Raw genomic sequence first — 16,853 nt, forward strand, 5'->3', positions numbered from 1 at the left:
AAGCGATCCAGCATTGAGTTTTCATGCCTGAGTTCAGTTTTAGTTTAAGAAGAAACAATAACCTGGACATTATTAGGTGTTGTTCTGTAACAACTTCTGCTGTTATGAATGACATCCTTTTATATATATGTCTTGATCTTTACACAAGGAGTTCATATCATGTGAGTAATGTTTTTTGAGGTGGGAGCAAAGCTTATTAACCCCATTTTATAGATGAAAATGATAAGAACCATGAAGGTTCAGTTCCCAAAGTCACGAAACAAGAAGCAAAATCAAAGCCTCTTAGTTCTTGAAGCCCAGAGGATTTTATTATCTTTTACAATATGGAGAAAACAGTTTCTGATAAACGGTAGTGGGAAGGGAACTTCCCCCAGGAACTGGAAAGATTTAAGATGTGCTGGTTTTGGTTAAGTTCTTTCAAGGAAGTTTTTTTTGTTTGTTTTGTTTTGTTTTTTTGTTAGTGCTTCATTTTGTTTTGTTTTTGGCTTCTAGAGCTATTGTAAGATCAGTCCTCAGAAGGCAGGGCACTGTGTGTCTATTCAAGGTTGCTCTTTATCTGGTAGGATCTGCACCTTTAGGCTTTCCATGGGAATGCCAAGTCCAAAACCCTTGTCCCTTGTCTCTTCATGTGACCTGCCACTGGGTCCCCAGCCCCAAAGCCCCCTCCCGCTTCCCTCCCTCTGCCACACACAAGCCCTGTTGCCAGACCGGGAGGTAGCAACCGTGATTCCACATCCAGCAGTTTAGGTTTAGAGAGATTTATAAAGGTGCCAAGCTCCCCCCAGATGATATTCCTGGATCCACTCAGGCACAGTGGACACGGCATCAGAGAGATTGGCTGCAGGTTAGCAGGGGCTGGGACACCTCCCTCTATGCCCTTGTCTGGGTGGCCCTGAGTGTTTGCTGTGAGCAGCAGGCAGCAGTGCAAATGAAGCAGAGCACAAATGAATCTCCTGAATGTTTTCAGACCTAAAGTCTCAATCCCTTTTGGTTCAAGGTCTAGGGGAGAGTTGAAGCCAGTTGTGAATTTTTTGAAAAAAAAAAAATAATAATAATAATAATAAATTGGTTCACCCGTCTGTCAGAGCTGCCAAGAAATATTCACATGAGGGGGACTATCCAAAAAAATGAAGAGTAGCTCTTGTCCAAGACCGATCTCTGGAACTCTCTCCCTCCCCTTGCTCAGAACCACTTCCTCTCCTCAAATCTCACTTTAAAACCTTCCTGTTTGCTTTAGCCTATGACTGACTCAGGCCCCATTCATCTTTCTTTCCTCTCTCCCCATGACCACATCCTTCCACTCTCCTCTCATCATCCACCGTGAGAACACTCCCCTGCCTCTTTCCTCCCTCTATTTCTCAGCCCCCTTGCCTGTTACCCTGCAGTGACAGCAGGTATGCTGCAGGTATGCTGCAGGTATCCTCGCCGGCGTGCACAAGTCACCTCCCCGTCCAGATGTGTTTGTGAGCATGAAGATTCTCCACACGGGGGCCTGTTCCTTTGCCTGGTTCTCAGAGGAGGAGATAATGAATTTCAGTGGTACTTCTGCATAAAGAGGGACTTTGCAAGGTGTATTTCAGGAGTTACCGATTCAGAAACTGGAGAAGCAGAACACAAAGAGACCTTGTAATAGACCAGCAAAGATACCAATTCCCCGCTGTGTTTCCTTTGAGATACTTCAGGTAAAGCCTGAAGGAGAGGTGGGAATAAAACACAGGCCAAACTGGAGCTGTTGTTTTGCCTCCAGAATAGAATTCTAATTGTCTCAACTGAGCTTCTTATTTCCCTCAAGTAATGAGAAACGTAAATTCCTCAGCAAAGTTCTAAGGCAGGATTGACCCTGGGAAAACAATCCCAGCGTAAGCTCAAGTGTTTGAATTCTTTTTGTTCAGGTTGTAGACTCAATACTTTCTAACTAGTGTGGTTTCAGTTGTGTTTTCTGAACAACAGGCATGCTGTGGGTTTTCCCACAATGCATTCCTGTCCTCCCTTCCAAGATGGTGCCTTTTCCCACAAACATGGAAGCAAAATGGTCTGTTCCTGTCTCCACAGTGACCTCGCTGCTGGCTCCAAAAGAAATGCTTCCAGAACCAAGCACCCGAGACAGTGTCTGATGAGCCATGTTCTTGGGTCATTTTTGATCTTATTACAATTATAACAGCTGCCATTTCCCTACCACGTTATTGTTTCCAAAGCACATTTGTATTTGCTCATGAGGTACATCAGGCAGGTGCGAATGTTTCTGTTTTACACTTAAAGGACTAAGATTGACATGACTTGTCCAAGGTCACAGAAGTTGAGTGGTGGGGTTGGAATTCACACGAATATTCTTTAGAAACTACGGCCCAATTAGAGGCATCCCCGGGTGAGAATATGCGTCCGGTGTCCGGAGAGGACTTCCACACTGTGAGTGATGCAAACGGCACCTCAAGGGGGCTTTCCAGGGGACACTGGGCTTTTTGCTTGATTTTTGATAGCAGGTCTTTTTTTTTTTTTCTTTTTTTTTTTTTTTTTTTTGAGACGGAGTCTCGCTCTGTCGCCCAGGCCGGACTGCGGACTGCAGTGGCGCAATCTCGGCTCACTGCAAGCTCCGCTTCCCAGGTTCACGCCATTCTCCTGCCTCAGCCTCCCGAGTAGCTGGGACTACAGGCGCCCGCCACCGCGCCCGGCTAATTTTTTGTATTTTTAGTAGAGACGGGGTTTCACCTTGTTAGCCAGGATGGTCTCGATCGCCTGACCTCATGATCCACCCGCCTCGGCCTCCCAAAGTGCTGGGATTACAGGCGTGAGCCACCGCGCCTGGCCTTTTTTTTTTCTTTAACACACCCGACTTATTAAAAAACTTGCAAGTGAGTGAGTCAGTATTACCCAAGCTCACCCAAACTGGTGGTAGAATGATGGAGCTCAGAACTACGCCAGTGTTTAAGCTAACCTGAGATGAAGTCTGGAACAGTTAATTCTGCTGTGTGAAAAACAAATAATGAAAAGCATATTTTTAATAAAAAACTGGAAAAACAAATAAAAAGCAACTGCCCAACCTCCCTTCCTTAATTTTTGAGGGAGACGTAGCATGTAAATGTATATGTATGTAAATTTGTATTTAATTGTGTATTAGTTTTTCTCCTTTGCAGGGTCTTCTCTCTGAAGGCTAGTGGCTGGACCTGCACTCAGATGGCAATTCAGGTCCAGTTCATGAGATCTTGGACTGTTTTGACAAATGATTTGGGGAAAGGGATAGGGAGAGAGTTGTCAGTACCGATGCTGAGACTGTGAGAGCCATTTCTGAGTGGAGGTGAGGAAAAACGGAGCGATGACCGTGAGGGTCTTTGCGTGGCGCCTCGAGACCACACCTGGGAACGGTGACTTTGGAACTGGCTGACGTGTTTATTTGGTGTGAGGTCAACTACAGCTCTGAGGGCAATAACATGATCCTCATAAAACAGACCCCCCAGGCTGGGCCTCAGCCCGCTTGCTGCCAAGCAGGGGTGGTGGCCTAATAAGTGAGACATTGCTATCAACTCTCTGTAAATGGTGGGTTCATTCACTCTGTGGATGACATAGCCTGTTCTTTGCCCTTCTGTGTCAGCCCCATTGATTGCTTTTTAACCACCTTCTTGCTTTGTGCTGCTTCTTTCAGATGAAAAGGAAGGGAAAAGAGACTTCATTTCCATACCCACTAACCATGCCAACAGAAGGCTTTGTGAAGAAGGAAGTAAAAGCTATCGGTAGGAGTTAGAAAAAAACATTTCTAGTTACAAGAACAGCAGAAAAAGACCTGAACTTCAGAGTGGACCACAAATGAATATGAATTAATAACACAGATCTCTTTTCAAAAGCCAACACAAAATGAGGATGTGTTTTTTGCAAAAGCAGTTGTTCTTGCCACTGGGCTTATGCTTGTCATTCTTTCATGTGTCACAGCCAGACCTAGGAAATTCCCTGGAAAGTCCCCTCCATCACACACCTGCAGTTTTTCCATTTGAGTGTAATTCTGTTGGACCTTGAAAGACTTTTTGATCTTTGGGACGCTCTTATCACCAAATGTATCTTTCTGCAGGAAGAAGACAGAAGAAAGGGGTGGACTATGAGATGGGAGCCTGGGTCCCAATTTCAGTTCAACCATTACCAACCAGGTGGCTTTAGGCAAGTCTGGTCATTTCCTTTGCCTCAGTGGCTTTCTATAAAATGGAATTCTATAGGGATGATGAAAGCGAAAACGTTAGCCACTATGCTTGCTAGTGCTCAAGAAATGATTCCTTCCTGCCTGCCTGCCTCAGTTTTCCATCTGTAAACAAGGATTCAACTAGAACATCTTTGAGGTTCCTTGAGCTCTAACACTCTGTGATTCTGTTGGCAGCACCTTAAGAAATTTACAACAAACACTCCATTGAGTCTTAATCTATTAGATCCCATTCAGTTCTAATAGTGTTGTGATTTTGACTTTGTAGCCTCATGTTTATTTTCTCTCTTCCTGATTTTTTATTTATATATTCTATTTAATAGTTTTTGCTTTTTCAAGTTGTCACCAGTTCTTTGTAGAATAAGAAAAAAGTATAACTAACTGGAGGAAAGAATGCATTCACAGAAAGCCAAGGAATGATAACACTAATGCTAATACAATACTACTGCTAATAAAAATAACTGCCTTTATTGAACACTTACTGTGTGCAAAGAACTATGCTAAGCACTTTATAAACATTGGGTCATTTAATTCTCACAGTAACCCCATGAAGCCATACTTTTCATCTCCATTTTTACAGATAAGGAGACTGAGTCTTAGAGATAGCAAGCAACTTGTCCATGGTAAAGCTGAGCTGCAAATTCAGGTTGGGATAACTCGGAGAAGTGGTGTGCCGGCAAACAGGCATGCAAAACCAGAACTCCAAATCCCTGGTTTGGAGCATTTACTGATTTCCATGGTATAAACCCTCCCACTATGGCTGAATTCAAGTTACCAACAGTTTAAAACCAGCTCAAAAATTTTTAAAAATACCTCACTGCTAGGGAATACCAGGAATTGTACAATTCACTGTCTTCATTTTAACAATCCACTCTTGCAAGCCAATCAGAGCCAACCCCAACACATCCCAGAGAGAACCTGTGTTGATGACCACTAGGCTACACTGTCTCCTTGTATCACAGGCTGGGGCTGGGGATGATAGGGAAAACAAACAAAAAAACAAAACAAACAAACAAGAAAGGGGAGAAGGTTATGGACAGAGAAAGTAAGGAGATTTTGCAGCAACATGAATGGAGCTGGAAACCATTATTCTAAATGAATTAATGCAGGATCAGAAAACCAAGTACTGCATGTTCTCACTCATAAGTGGGAGCTAAACACTGAGCGCACATGGACACAAAGGAGGGAATGATAGACACCAGGGACAACTTGAGGGTGGAAGCTGGGAGGAGGAAAGGATTGAAAAACTACCTATCAGGTACTAAGTTTATTACCTGGGTGACCAAATAATCTGTATACCAAAACCCCGAGACATGCAATTTACCCATCGAACAAACCTGCCCCTGTATGCCCTGAACCTAAAAGAAATGTTGGAAAGAAAACAAAAAGAAAGTAAGGAGATGACAAATTCATTCATCCATTCATTCATTCCTGCATTCATTCACTCCACAAAGGCTTTTTGAGTACCAGCTAAGTACCTGGACTTGTGGTACACACTTCAGATACAGACATGAGTAAGATAAGGAGCCTGGAGTGTGTTGGTGAGAGAGTGACATGCACACAAATGACTGAGCACATGATGTGTACAAGTATGTGTATGAGTCTGGGGGACCCCGGTGAGGGACGAATTAATTGTACTTGGAGATCCTTGAAGGATGGAGTTCCAGGTGACACAAATTTTGCTTCCTTTCCAATTTGTAGGGGAGTTTCCCTCACTAGAGACATGTGCTCGGTGTAGCTCTTGATATTTTGGAACTAAATAGTGAAACCGAAGATGGGGCCAGGAGAGGAAGAATGATGAGAAAGTATGCTCCTTGGAGTTAGGGAAGCTGTTGCATCACCCCCGTGTTACCGACACCTGGTACCACAGAGTTGGCGCTCGGTGACTATTTGTTGACTTGGTGAATCACTGATGAATAATGATTTGTAAGCTCCAAAGAAGGTGGTTTGCGGAAAGGGGACCAGTGATAGCAGGAAAATGCACAATGTGAGTAGTGATTCCTAAGCATTTAAGGGGTGATTTTCAAGTAATAGAGTGAGCAGAAGACACCATGTACAGGGACTCCAGATGCCCCAGGCAGAGGTAAAATGCTCGAAAGAGAGGAACATCACTACCTGGCGGGCAGGTGGGGACAGGCTTGCCACGGATGGTCTGGGGATGGGATAACTCTCTGGCTCCCACTCTGAGAAGCAGGAGGTGATCTGGCCACAAGCCCTCAAGACGTGTTGAGTTTGGGAATACCTCACTGCTAGGGAATACCAGGAATTATGCAATTCACTGTCTTCATTTTAAAATTCTGTATGGGAGAAGCTAAAAAGTGAAGTTGGGGGGTTTTAGTATATTTCATTTGCATTGGTTTACTCTTCTCGTTCCTTGATTATCTGAGAGGAGGCTGCTGTTACGGAAAAGCGAAAACCAGGAGTGGTTTGAATATTCTTCCTTGAGACTTTTGACTGTTTCTATAAGAAGTGGATCTGCATGTGCCTTTTGGATATTGTGTTCCTCATGACAATGCCTTTTGTTCATAGATAGTTCCCAGTTTCCAAAGACTTTCCCCATTATAACATTTGTTCCATCCTCAAAACCGTCAAATGCAAAGGCCTCCATTTTATTAAAGGAGAAAGTACGACTCAAAGAAGTCAAGTGACTCACCCGAGGTCACACAGCTAAATTCTAGCAGAGCAAGGGACCAAGATAGTGAATTCTAAATGCAGAGACCTTCTTATTGTTCCAATTTTCTGTCCGACAATGCCCACCTCCTGGAGTGAGCAAGTCTTGCTGGAGACACAACAGCAGCTACAAGTGGTCCTCCCGACTATTCCAGAAATCCTTTTTCCACAGTGAAAAACTGAATTTGCCTGCCCCAGTTTCCCAGCCGCCTCATGACTCGATGAGCAATTGCTTTAACTCTGACAAAATTAGGCCACCTCCAACCTAAATGTAACCCGTTTTCAGAGTGAGACCCTGCATGGAGGCAGCTCTTTTCCTGAAAGGATAACAAAAGCATGCTTTTGTGTGTATTTCACTTGATGGAAAGAAATCCCCAGTGAGGCCGTTTTTTCCCCCTGAATTCTCCCAAGTCCAGAATGTATCCAAGTTTCCAATATTACCTCAGAAGAGCCATTCATCTATGAAGATGGCCGAATTGTCTTCCAGCTCGGTAGACAGTGTGTCTGCGAGAGAGAAGGTGAGGGGGTGCAGATAGAGGTGTGGGGAGAGGGTGAGGGAGGCTGAGGGCAGAGGAGGAAGACGCGAGAGGAGAAAATGTGTGCAGACAAATGCTGACAAGAGAAGGAAAGAGGCGAAAGGGCCAGCCCTGACTCTGGGGTCCCATCTGCCAGGGACACTTTTGGCTGATTCTTTTTAGGGCCTGTCAAGATCTGCCTGGTGAGCTGTCACTTGTCATCACTTGGCTCTCAATGAGGATCTTTGTGTCTTCACTGTCATGAAGAGGCATGGCAACTGGCAAAGAATTTCCTGGGGCGCTACCTGATCCACCATTATTCACCTCTTATCATCTTAGCAGAGTAGTTACGCCACTGTCAGAGGTAATGGAGACCATGCCACTAAGAAAATTGGCCGTAATTTATTTATCAGTTGTTTCTGTATACCACAAAAGCGGCCTTCTACTTTACGGCTGGGTCTAAGGTATTTGAGAGCCCTCGAAGTTCATGGTTTTCCGGTATTCTAACTTCTACTTATGGCCTTTCCTGTAGATGACACACAACACCGCCCTTGTGGCTTGCAGTCAGTTTTCTTCTTTGCTTTCTTTAGTCACAAATCATCCTGAGGCATCCCTTAAGTGCATTTGTATTGTTAAGTGCACCAGCTTGATTTGGTGTTAATTCAATTTGAGTGCCCTTAATATCTTGTGGGGGTGATGCAATGCAGGCTGCCTCTACCTTGTAAAATCGGGTCCCAGGTCCGCCTGCGAGCAAAGCACCTTTCCCATAGCCACTTACCAAAGTTGCTGATAAAATTTTCATAAGGGAACCTTTTTAGTCTGACCCTATTGTGTTATTCTACCATTAAGTCTCAGAGAACTGAGCTGGCTTCTAGTGACAGCTTATCACATTCTCCATTATTGCTGCCTGCCCAGAGAGCTGGCTGGCTGTGTGTAGTGCAAGCTCCCTCCCTCCCCACCACTTCTGGGACGTTCTGGGAAAAGCTTGTGGGCCAGCACCTCGGGGCTAATGGGAGATTGTCTCTCTGTGGGTGCCAGAGAACTGAGCTCTCTTCCTGATGAGCTGGTTCCTTTCACCTTGGAAAGCTCGAGGGGCCCTGAAGGATGAGGAACCTGAGGGATAAGGAGAGCAGTGAAGGGTGAGCTGAAGTGGAGGAAGAGTTACAAAGCACTTTCCTTAAAACAGCACAGAACGCAGCCACAACCATGTGAGCACCACTCTGACACACAGTTTGAGGCAGAGGATTAGACCAGGTATTTGTCTTTGGAATATTTGCTTTAGAAACATGATGACATTATTCACTCCAAGAGAACTCCAAAATCATGGGCCACTTGTCCCTGGGTTGGCATCTGAACTCAGTAGCTTATTTGCTTTGTGACCTTGATCAGTTTTCCTATCTGTGAAATCAGCACCCACCTATGGGTTTGTGTGCATGGTGTGTGTGTGTGTGTGTGTGTGTGTGTGTGTGTGCTGATTAAATGAGGCAACACATATAAAGACCACCAAAAACAGTATCTCCTGTGACTATCTTAGAATCCAGGAGGCCGTCAAAGGGCAAGGTGAGAAAGCTGGTTCAGACAGTGCAGAAATTATCTGGGTACCACAAGATGAGAAAGAGATAATAAGTCTAGAAACTTGGTCTTCTGATCCTTGACCCAATCTAGGTCCTTTCCGTCCATCCCACTGTCTCCCTAATGCTGTCCATGGACATCAGGAGCTTGAGTAGATTTGGGGTGCATCAGGCTACTTTCTACTTCCTTGATGACAAGATTTCTTCACTGCAGACTAACCTCTTCTCGGTCACTCTTCCTTGTTTTGTTGACTGTGTCTGAGGAATGGCTTAAATCTGCCTAACAGTGTGAGCATTGCCCCTACCTGTCTGCTGCGTTGGGTTAAAAAGCATGGTAGTCCAATAAACAGAACTGGGAGATGCTCTTTCAAAAGAGCATTTAAAAATTATTGTTCACTGTAGATGTCACAGAAGTATAGATAAAGTGCAAATACTACAGCAAAAGGGAAAAATCCCCTGTCATGCCACCTATAACCGTGAAGTCACGTGCTGTGTTTTCTTCCTCTTTTTCTTTTCTTTTTTTTTTTTTATTATACTTTAAGTTTTAGGGTACATGTGCACATTGTGCAGGTTAGTTATATATGTATACATGTGCCATGCTGGTGCGCTGCACCCACTAACTCGTCATCTAGCATTAGGTATATCTCCCGATGCTATCCCTCCCCCCTCCCCCCACCCCACAACAGTCCCCAGAGTGTGATATTCCCCTTCCTGTATCCATGTGATCTCATTGTTCAATTCCCACCTATGAGTGAGAATATGCGGTGTTTGGTTTTTTGTTCTTGCGATAGTTTACTGAGAATGATGATTTCCAATTTCATCCATGTCCCTGCAAAGGACATGAACTCATCATTTTTTATGGCTGCATAGTATTCCATGGTGTATATGTGCCACATTTTCTTAATCCAGTCTATCATTGTTGGACATTTGGGTTGGTTCCAAGTCTTTGCTATTGTGAATAATGCCGCAATAAACATAGGTGTGCATGTGTCTTTATAGCAGCATGATTTATAGTCCTTTGGGTATATACCCAGTAATGGGATGGCTGGGTCAAATGGTATTTCTAGTTCTAGATCCCTGAGGAATTGCCACACTGACTTCCACAGTGGTTGAACTAGTTTACAGTCCCACCAACAGTGTAAAAGTGTTCCTATTTCTCCACATCCTCTCCAGCACCTGTTGTTTCCTGACTTTTTAATGATGGCCATTCTAACTGGTGTGAGATGGTATCTCATTGTGGTTTTGATTTGCATTTCTCTGATGGCCAGTGATGATGAGCATTTTTTCATGTGTTTTTTGGCTGTATAAATGTCTTCTTTTGAGAAGTGTCTGTTCATGTCCTCCGCCCACTTTTTGATGGGGTTGTTTGTTTTTTTCTTGTAAATTTGTTTGAGTTCATTGTAGATTCTGGATATTAGCCCTTTGTCAGATGAGTAGGTCGCGAAAATTGTCTCCCATTTTGTAGGTTTCCTGTTCACTCTGATGGTAGTTTCTTTTGCTGTGCAGAAGCTCTTTAGTTTAATTAGATCCCATTTGTCAATTTTGGCTTTTGTTGCCATTGCTTTTGGTGTTTTAGACATGAAGTCCTTGCCCATGCCCATGTCCTGAATAGTAATGCCTAGGTTTTCTTCTCTGGTTTTTATGGTTTTAGGTCTAACGTTTAAGTCTTTAATCCATCTTGAATTAATTTTTGTATAAGGTGTAAGGAAGGGATCCAGTTTCAGCTTTCTACATATGGCTAGCCAGTTTTCCCAGCACCATTTATTAAATAGGGAATCCTTTCCCCATTGCTCGTTTTTCTCAGGTTTGTCAAAGATCAGATAGTTGTAGATATGCAGTGTTATTTCTGAGGGTTCTGTTCTGTTCCATTGATCTATATCTCTGTTTTGGTACCAGTGCCGTGCTGTTTTGGTTACTGTAGCCTTGTAGTATAGTTTGAAGTCAGGTAGTGTGATGCCTCCAGCTTTGTTCTTCTGGCTTAGGATTGACATAGTGTTGGAAGTTCTGTCCAGGGCAATTAGGCAGGAGAAGGAAATAAAAGGTATTCAATTAGGAAAAGGGGAAGTCAAATTGTCCCTGTTTGCAGACGACATGATTGTATATCTAGAAAACCCCATTGTCTCAGCCCAAAATCTCCTTAAGCTGATAAGCAACTTCAGCAAAGTCTCAGGATACAAAATCAATGTACAAAAATCACAAGCATTCTTATACACCAACAACAGACAAACAGAGAGCCAAATCATGAGTGAACTCCCATTCACAATTGCTTCAAAGAGAATAAAATACCTAGGAATCCAACTTATAAGGGATGTGAAGGACCTCTTCAAGGAGAACTACAAACCACTGCTCAAGGAAATAAAAGAGGATACAAACAAATGGAAGAACATTCAATGCTCATGGGTAGGAAGAATCAATATCGTGAAAATGGCCATACTGCCCAAGGTAATTTACAGATTCAATGCCATCCCCATCAAGCTACCAATGACTTTCTTCTTCCTCTTTTTCTATGCACACACACGTGCTCACTTGTTCACCTGCTTGCTCTCTTCAGTATACTGTGATGGCTAAAAGCACAGACCCTTGAACCATTCTCAGTTCAAACTCTGGCTCCACCACTTGAGCAAGTTATTTAACTTTTCCGCTGTTGTTTCGTCGTCTGTTAATTTGACTTCATGATGGTGCCTTCCTCAGCATGGGGGTTAAGAGAAGCAAACGAGTGAATCTACGTAAATCACAGTGCCTGGCACGCAGTCAACATTGTACAGAGATTCCTTTAGGATGACGATTACATACAACAGAAACCTGGGGTCATACGATGTATTCTGCCAGGATACGATGTATTCTGGTTTTTATGGGGGCAGTTTCTTTGCTCACACCCAGCTGCTAAATTATAATCCTTTCTTAAACTGCTCACTCAGACAGGGTCTCAAAGTCTGGAGGGGTCCCGCCTGCCTCCTGGCTCAGCATGCCATGGTGAGCATTGTGTCTTCATCTCCAAAAAGGTCTGGCAGAAGTTAACACCCTACAGCCTGATTCCTGGAGGGGGTAGTTAGACCCATTTTAGAGGAGGGAGGATTAAGACTGAGCAGCTATTGAAGTGGCTGCATTCAGGTCTTCAAGCACATGAGGTGGACTTCCTGCCCCATGTAAGTGACTTGGCCACTCCCTGGCCTTGGTATACACTTTTATTACACTGGCGATTTAGGCCTACATGACGTAAGGAGTAAGGTTAAAATCATAAGAAAAGACTAATTCTCAGAAAAAAACATCTCATGGAAAAAAGCTCTGAGTGGCTTGGTATATGTGTAATGTGTGTGCAGATATGTGTGTGTGTTACCATTTTGGTGTTTTTGAGCATCTTTTTGTGAGATTCAAAAATGCTGAGAGTGAAAAATGATCATTTCAAACCAGACTGGGCCAGGTAGTATCATCAATCAGGAAGGAAGATCAGAGTCCAGCGGTGTGCATGTGCATGTGCGTGTGCACGTGTGTGTGCGTGGAGACCATATGCACGAAGAAGGCGCCAGCGTGCGAGCCTCTCGGGGTGAGAAGGAGGAGCAGATGTGGACCCGAGGAAGGGAGAAGGTTTTGATGAAATATTGGCTAACGCTCGGGGCACCGAAGGAGAAGCAGCTCTGGTCAGGGAACTGTGCTACATTAGAATTTATAATAGATTAGCTTAGCTGTCCCTTGATCTTCAAGGGTATTTGGGGAGCTGAGGACGAGGCATTTCTGCCTTGATTTTCACAGTGAGAGGAAACCTCTGGAACACTATTCCCAGCCTTTCCTTTTGCACAGCCTAAGGCGGTGAGAGCTTGCTGTTCACACCCCCACTCGGGTCATTTGAAGGAGGCTGACAGTGCCCAGGAATGCTGACATGCTTCAAAACATCACACACAAAAGAACCCACTCAGATTCCTAAGGGGAGTTGCTGTCAGCCCTTCCCAAGCTGGATTCTAACATTGGATGTGATTGCCAGGGCTCCCCCTCCCATAGCAGGGGCAGGAAATCCATATTCATTCTGTCCGTCTGCCAGACTCTCCTCTCCCTGTCCATCTGTCTGTCTGTCTGTCTGACTCTGCCTTGCTCTCTGAGGGTGTGTGCTCTCATGAAAAGGGGAGCGCTCAGGGATGTTCCAGATGAGCTGCTGCGAGCCGTGTAGCTTTAAACTCCAATGAGCTGAAGCGGCCTGGAAAGAAAGAGTGAGGGGTGAAGTCTGGTTTGATGTCTTGGCGCACTGGGGAGATGATTCATATAACATGAGCCCCTCGGGGTCCGTGGTTAAATCCCAGCCTAACACCCCCGGCCGGACTGGAATTCTGAAGTCCAGCCAAGGAGTGTTACTGGTCCTGCCTCGGCAAACAATTGGTGGGTCAGAGGTAAAGGACAGAGGAGGGGTGATTCTTTCACTGGAAAAAGTACCTGCTGGGAAGGAAGGAATCATATGATGTGTGTGGTGGGGACATCCAGCCAGGGAGGACCTGGCTCTCACATTACGAGCTCCCTTGCAGAAGCCAGAAGGGACTTTTTATTGCTGGTTGGGCCTGGGGGCCCAGCAACAGTGGCTCTGGCTTGGTTCTGAAAGGCTGGAGAAGGGGTTGAGGGGCTGTGAGCTGGGCTCTGGATGCCAGGGTGGGTGTGAGGAAGGAGGGAAGCCAGGGATGGGTGTGACTGTCTTCAGACTCACAACTAAGGCAGGAGCAAGAAAGAGGAGAGAGGAGCCGCCTGGTTTCCTCTCTGGCCAAGTGCCGTGGGGCCTCTATGGCCTCTATTTTGGCCTTTGCATGACATTTAACATGTGTGGCCACCCACCTCCACCCTCGGCTTCTTAAACATCCTCTCCTCCTGGACCCACTCTCCACCTCTCTGACCGCACTCATTCCGTTTTTATGTGGAAGTTGTGTAGCCCTCCTTCTTCAGGGGAAGCCCCTTTCCCGATGCTTAGTTAGTGTAGGTTTGGATGGGGGATTTTTGGCTTGTGACCCAGGCCTGACTAGAGTGACTGGTTTAAGGACAGGCCTGTGAGCCAATGGGGTCCAATCAGAGCCAAAGCTGGAACTTCTGTTGGAATTTTTGGGACAAGGAATTTCCTTTTCAACTGAGGTTGATGAGATGAGAGGCTAAAAGCCTGGAGCTCCCAGGAGCCGTCACAGTGAGAGAGGCTGTGCAAAGGCGAATCCACAGGAGAGAGGGAGGCAGAGAGAGGAGATGGAGTTCCGATGGCATTGTTTGAGACCTGAGACCTAATCACAGCTGAGGTCAGGATCTACCCCTGGACTCTTCAGTCATGCTGCTAACCAAGACATCCCCTCTTTTTCCTCCACCGAGTCTGAGTTTTTCTGCTCCTGTGATTGCCAGCATTGTGGCTATGTGTCAGCTCAGCACACCTTGTTGTCTCTCCCATACAGAGTCTCCTCTCCCCTTGTCCACTGCTGATCTGTGTCTTCCCCCTAAGTCAAGCCCTCGACCTTCAGTGTTTGCTCCTCTCTCCTTGCTCCCTCAGACTTTCCAGCTACTCTTGTGGTGTCAGCTGTGCCTTCTGTGAGAATGGCCCCACTCCCACAGTTGTGTTTTTGCTTAGATCTTCTTGCCTGTCCCCAGTGCCTGGCCATGGAGAATACATTCCCACATGTGCGTCATGCACAAGCACACGAGCACAGCTGGCTGAGGTTGGTATGTCCCTCCTGCTCCTTGGGAAGAGGAAGCTTCGCTTCCCAACCCTGGAATCACATCCCCAGGGTTCAAAGTTAGAGTTGTCTTTTATTCCTTCTTCTCTTTGTCTGGCCCCCTAGAGTGAATCATCCACCAGGTCTTCAAACATTTCTCTTCTGTATGTTGTTTTTTGCTTCATCCACTGCCATTCTCTAGTCTGAGAGCTCATTGGGATTCCCTTAAAAGCCTCTTACCTGGCTTTCTAATATCCATTTCAAACTGACCCAACCCCATAACCCCCAATTTAACTCCCCCAAATCCCTGTTTCCCCTCACAGCTCACCTGAACAAACCAAATTCCTCACTGTTGTATATCATCCAATACTGGCTTTCATGAGGCATGAGAAGCCATAGGAGCATCTTGCTGGAATATTAATTTGACTGCAAGAATTCTTGGAGTGTGGGAAGTGTTTTTACTGGAAAGTAATTAAATACTATTTTTATATTAAAACAGACTGATCTTATGTAAAGTAGAATGCAAAGCTCATATGAATTTTACAGATTAAACAGAAGTTCCGAGATTGTAAAAGTCCACTTCCAGTCACCACCCAAGATTTCCAGACCTTCTTTTCCTCTGCTATTGGGTAGAAAGCTTTGAGAAGCACTAGCATGTTGAGATCAGTGTAACCTTCTCAATTTAGTGTCTTCCTCTCCTGACCCTAACTTACCTATGCTCCTCCTGGTCTCTCCTTTATTCCTGGAGGCAGGGAGCTCCTCTGGCTGTTTTTTAAACTCAATACTTGCATTCCCAACTCTGTTTCATGCCACAGTCACCTTTTCCAAATGACCTCTGTTCTCCTTTTCCTTATCTTACCTTGAGTAGCCTTTGGAATCCACATCAACAAATGGATTATAAACTAGACAAGAGTCACTCCATAGCTCAAAACCCTTACAAAGCTCATATCTAGCTGTGGGATGAGTCCTGGCTCCTTCACATGGCACACTGGCTTTTGGCTGATCTGGTTTCTACTTGATCTGATGCTTTAGCCTCAACTCTTCTTGGGACGGCATCGTGATCAAGAACCACTGGAGCGCCGCCAAAGCACAGTGCTCACTCTCACCTCTATCTTGGTCCTTTCCATTCCCCTTTCCTTCTCGTCCTATTCGTTAAGATGCAGCTCAGGCATAATTTTCTTCTTGGCCATCTTCCCTGAGATACCCTAGCCCCCTGAGCAGAGCTGCGTCTTAGCATCAATCTTTCTTACCGCTTTCTCTGCTCACCAGATTGTGGGGTCCTTAAATGCAAGAACTAATCACCTTTGTTATTCCTGCTATTTCTTGAATAAATTAATTAGTGGACAAATAAGAGATATCAGGAGACTCAGGATTAATATCTGTCCACATGTCCTTGGGCAAGTTGCTTTACCTCTCTAAGCCTGTGCATTATTTTTTAGTCAAATCTGTTTCATGCACACAATTTTTAAAAATCTCTATTTTGCCTAAGGGCCCCTGGAAGTATCAATGGTTGCATAGATTGGAACTGAAGACTGGGTCTGGGACTGAAGCTGCAAATAAGGAACTGGAGTCAGCGGATGAGTAGGACCAAGGTTGCTGCCTCCTCCCCAGGATGGCACAGCTTGCACAGGAAAGCATCCATATACTCGGGTTTGGTGTAGGAACCCTGGGTAAAGGTCCACAGAGAGACAATTTGGGGTTAGACACACATATTTTATTCATATTATTCTGTCCCTGCCTGCAGGAAGGCTATTATGTTTTTAAATTCCAAGAGCTCTTACTTATTTGCTGAAAGTTCTTTTTACAAGCACTCTGTTCTTGTTACGTGGATGTAAAATCTTCTCTTATCTCTCTTAATTATGTTGCTTACAATCATAATTAATGTTTGTTTTGTTCTCTGCCTTGTCTCTATTTCCTGTAAATTTCTTTTGGTCTCTTCCATTTAGGTTAGTGGTTTTCCTGAAGTGCCAAGAATATAAACCATTTATATTTATATTTATACATATTTAAGAATGAGGGACCAGAAGCTAATTGAGAAACCCATGTGCCTAGTGGCACTGTTGGGTGGCAAACCTCACCAAATCGCGATCTGGCAGCTGATTTGAGAGAGGCCCCATGTCAGCATAGGTCGGTCATGAGTCAGGTGCTGTTCTCTTCACCTCCATGCTCAGTATTCCTGGGTTAGTCTTCCTCTTTTCATTGGAGTTGTCAGTTTCTGTGATCCCCTGTCCTTCTAATTACCTGTCTGAGG

At 44.8% G+C, this 16,853-nt stretch overlaps 1 protein-coding gene across 2 annotated transcripts in view, besides 2 other annotated features; it reads left to right on the top strand.

The window, feature by feature from the left end:
* The window catches only part of CCDC171 (coiled-coil domain containing 171), a 556,042-nt gene that overhangs the window by 504,124 nt on the left and 35,065 nt on the right, over positions 1-16,853 (top strand). Inside the window, exon 28 of one of the 2 annotated variants that reach the window (XR_001746227.3) lies at positions 3,638-4,657. The exons of the other annotated variant lie outside the window; for it this stretch is intronic. The gene's annotated coding sequence lies outside the window, so the exon portion shown is untranslated. Of the gene's footprint in view, positions 1-3,637; positions 4,658-16,853 lie in introns of those variants that run through there. 2 annotated transcript variants of the gene reach the window in all.
* Positions 3,168-4,367: an enhancer, noted in NCBI's record as "CDK7 strongly-dependent group 2 enhancer chr9:16060174-16061373 (GRCh37/hg19 assembly coordinates)". NCBI's record gives its function as "activates an origin of replication core promoter dependent on BRD2, BRD4, P300/CBP, MED14 and CDK7 cofactors, with strong dependence on CDK7, by STARR-seq in HCT116 cells {active_cell/tissue: HCT116}" and the evidence as "EXISTENCE:reporter gene assay evidence [ECO:0000049][PMID:35650434]".
* Positions 3,337-3,837: an enhancer, noted in NCBI's record as "H3K27ac hESC enhancer chr9:16060343-16060843 (GRCh37/hg19 assembly coordinates)". NCBI's record gives its function as "activates a minimal SCP1, AML or CMV promoter by ChIP-STARR-seq in naive H9 embryonic stem cells {active_cell/tissue: H9 hESC(naive)}" and the evidence as "EXISTENCE:reporter gene assay evidence [ECO:0000049][PMID:30033119]".

Source organism: Homo sapiens, chromosome 9, assembly GCF_000001405.40.
Source record: "Homo sapiens chromosome 9, GRCh38.p14 Primary Assembly".
Classification (NCBI taxonomy): domain Eukaryota; kingdom Metazoa; phylum Chordata; class Mammalia; order Primates; family Hominidae; genus Homo; species Homo sapiens.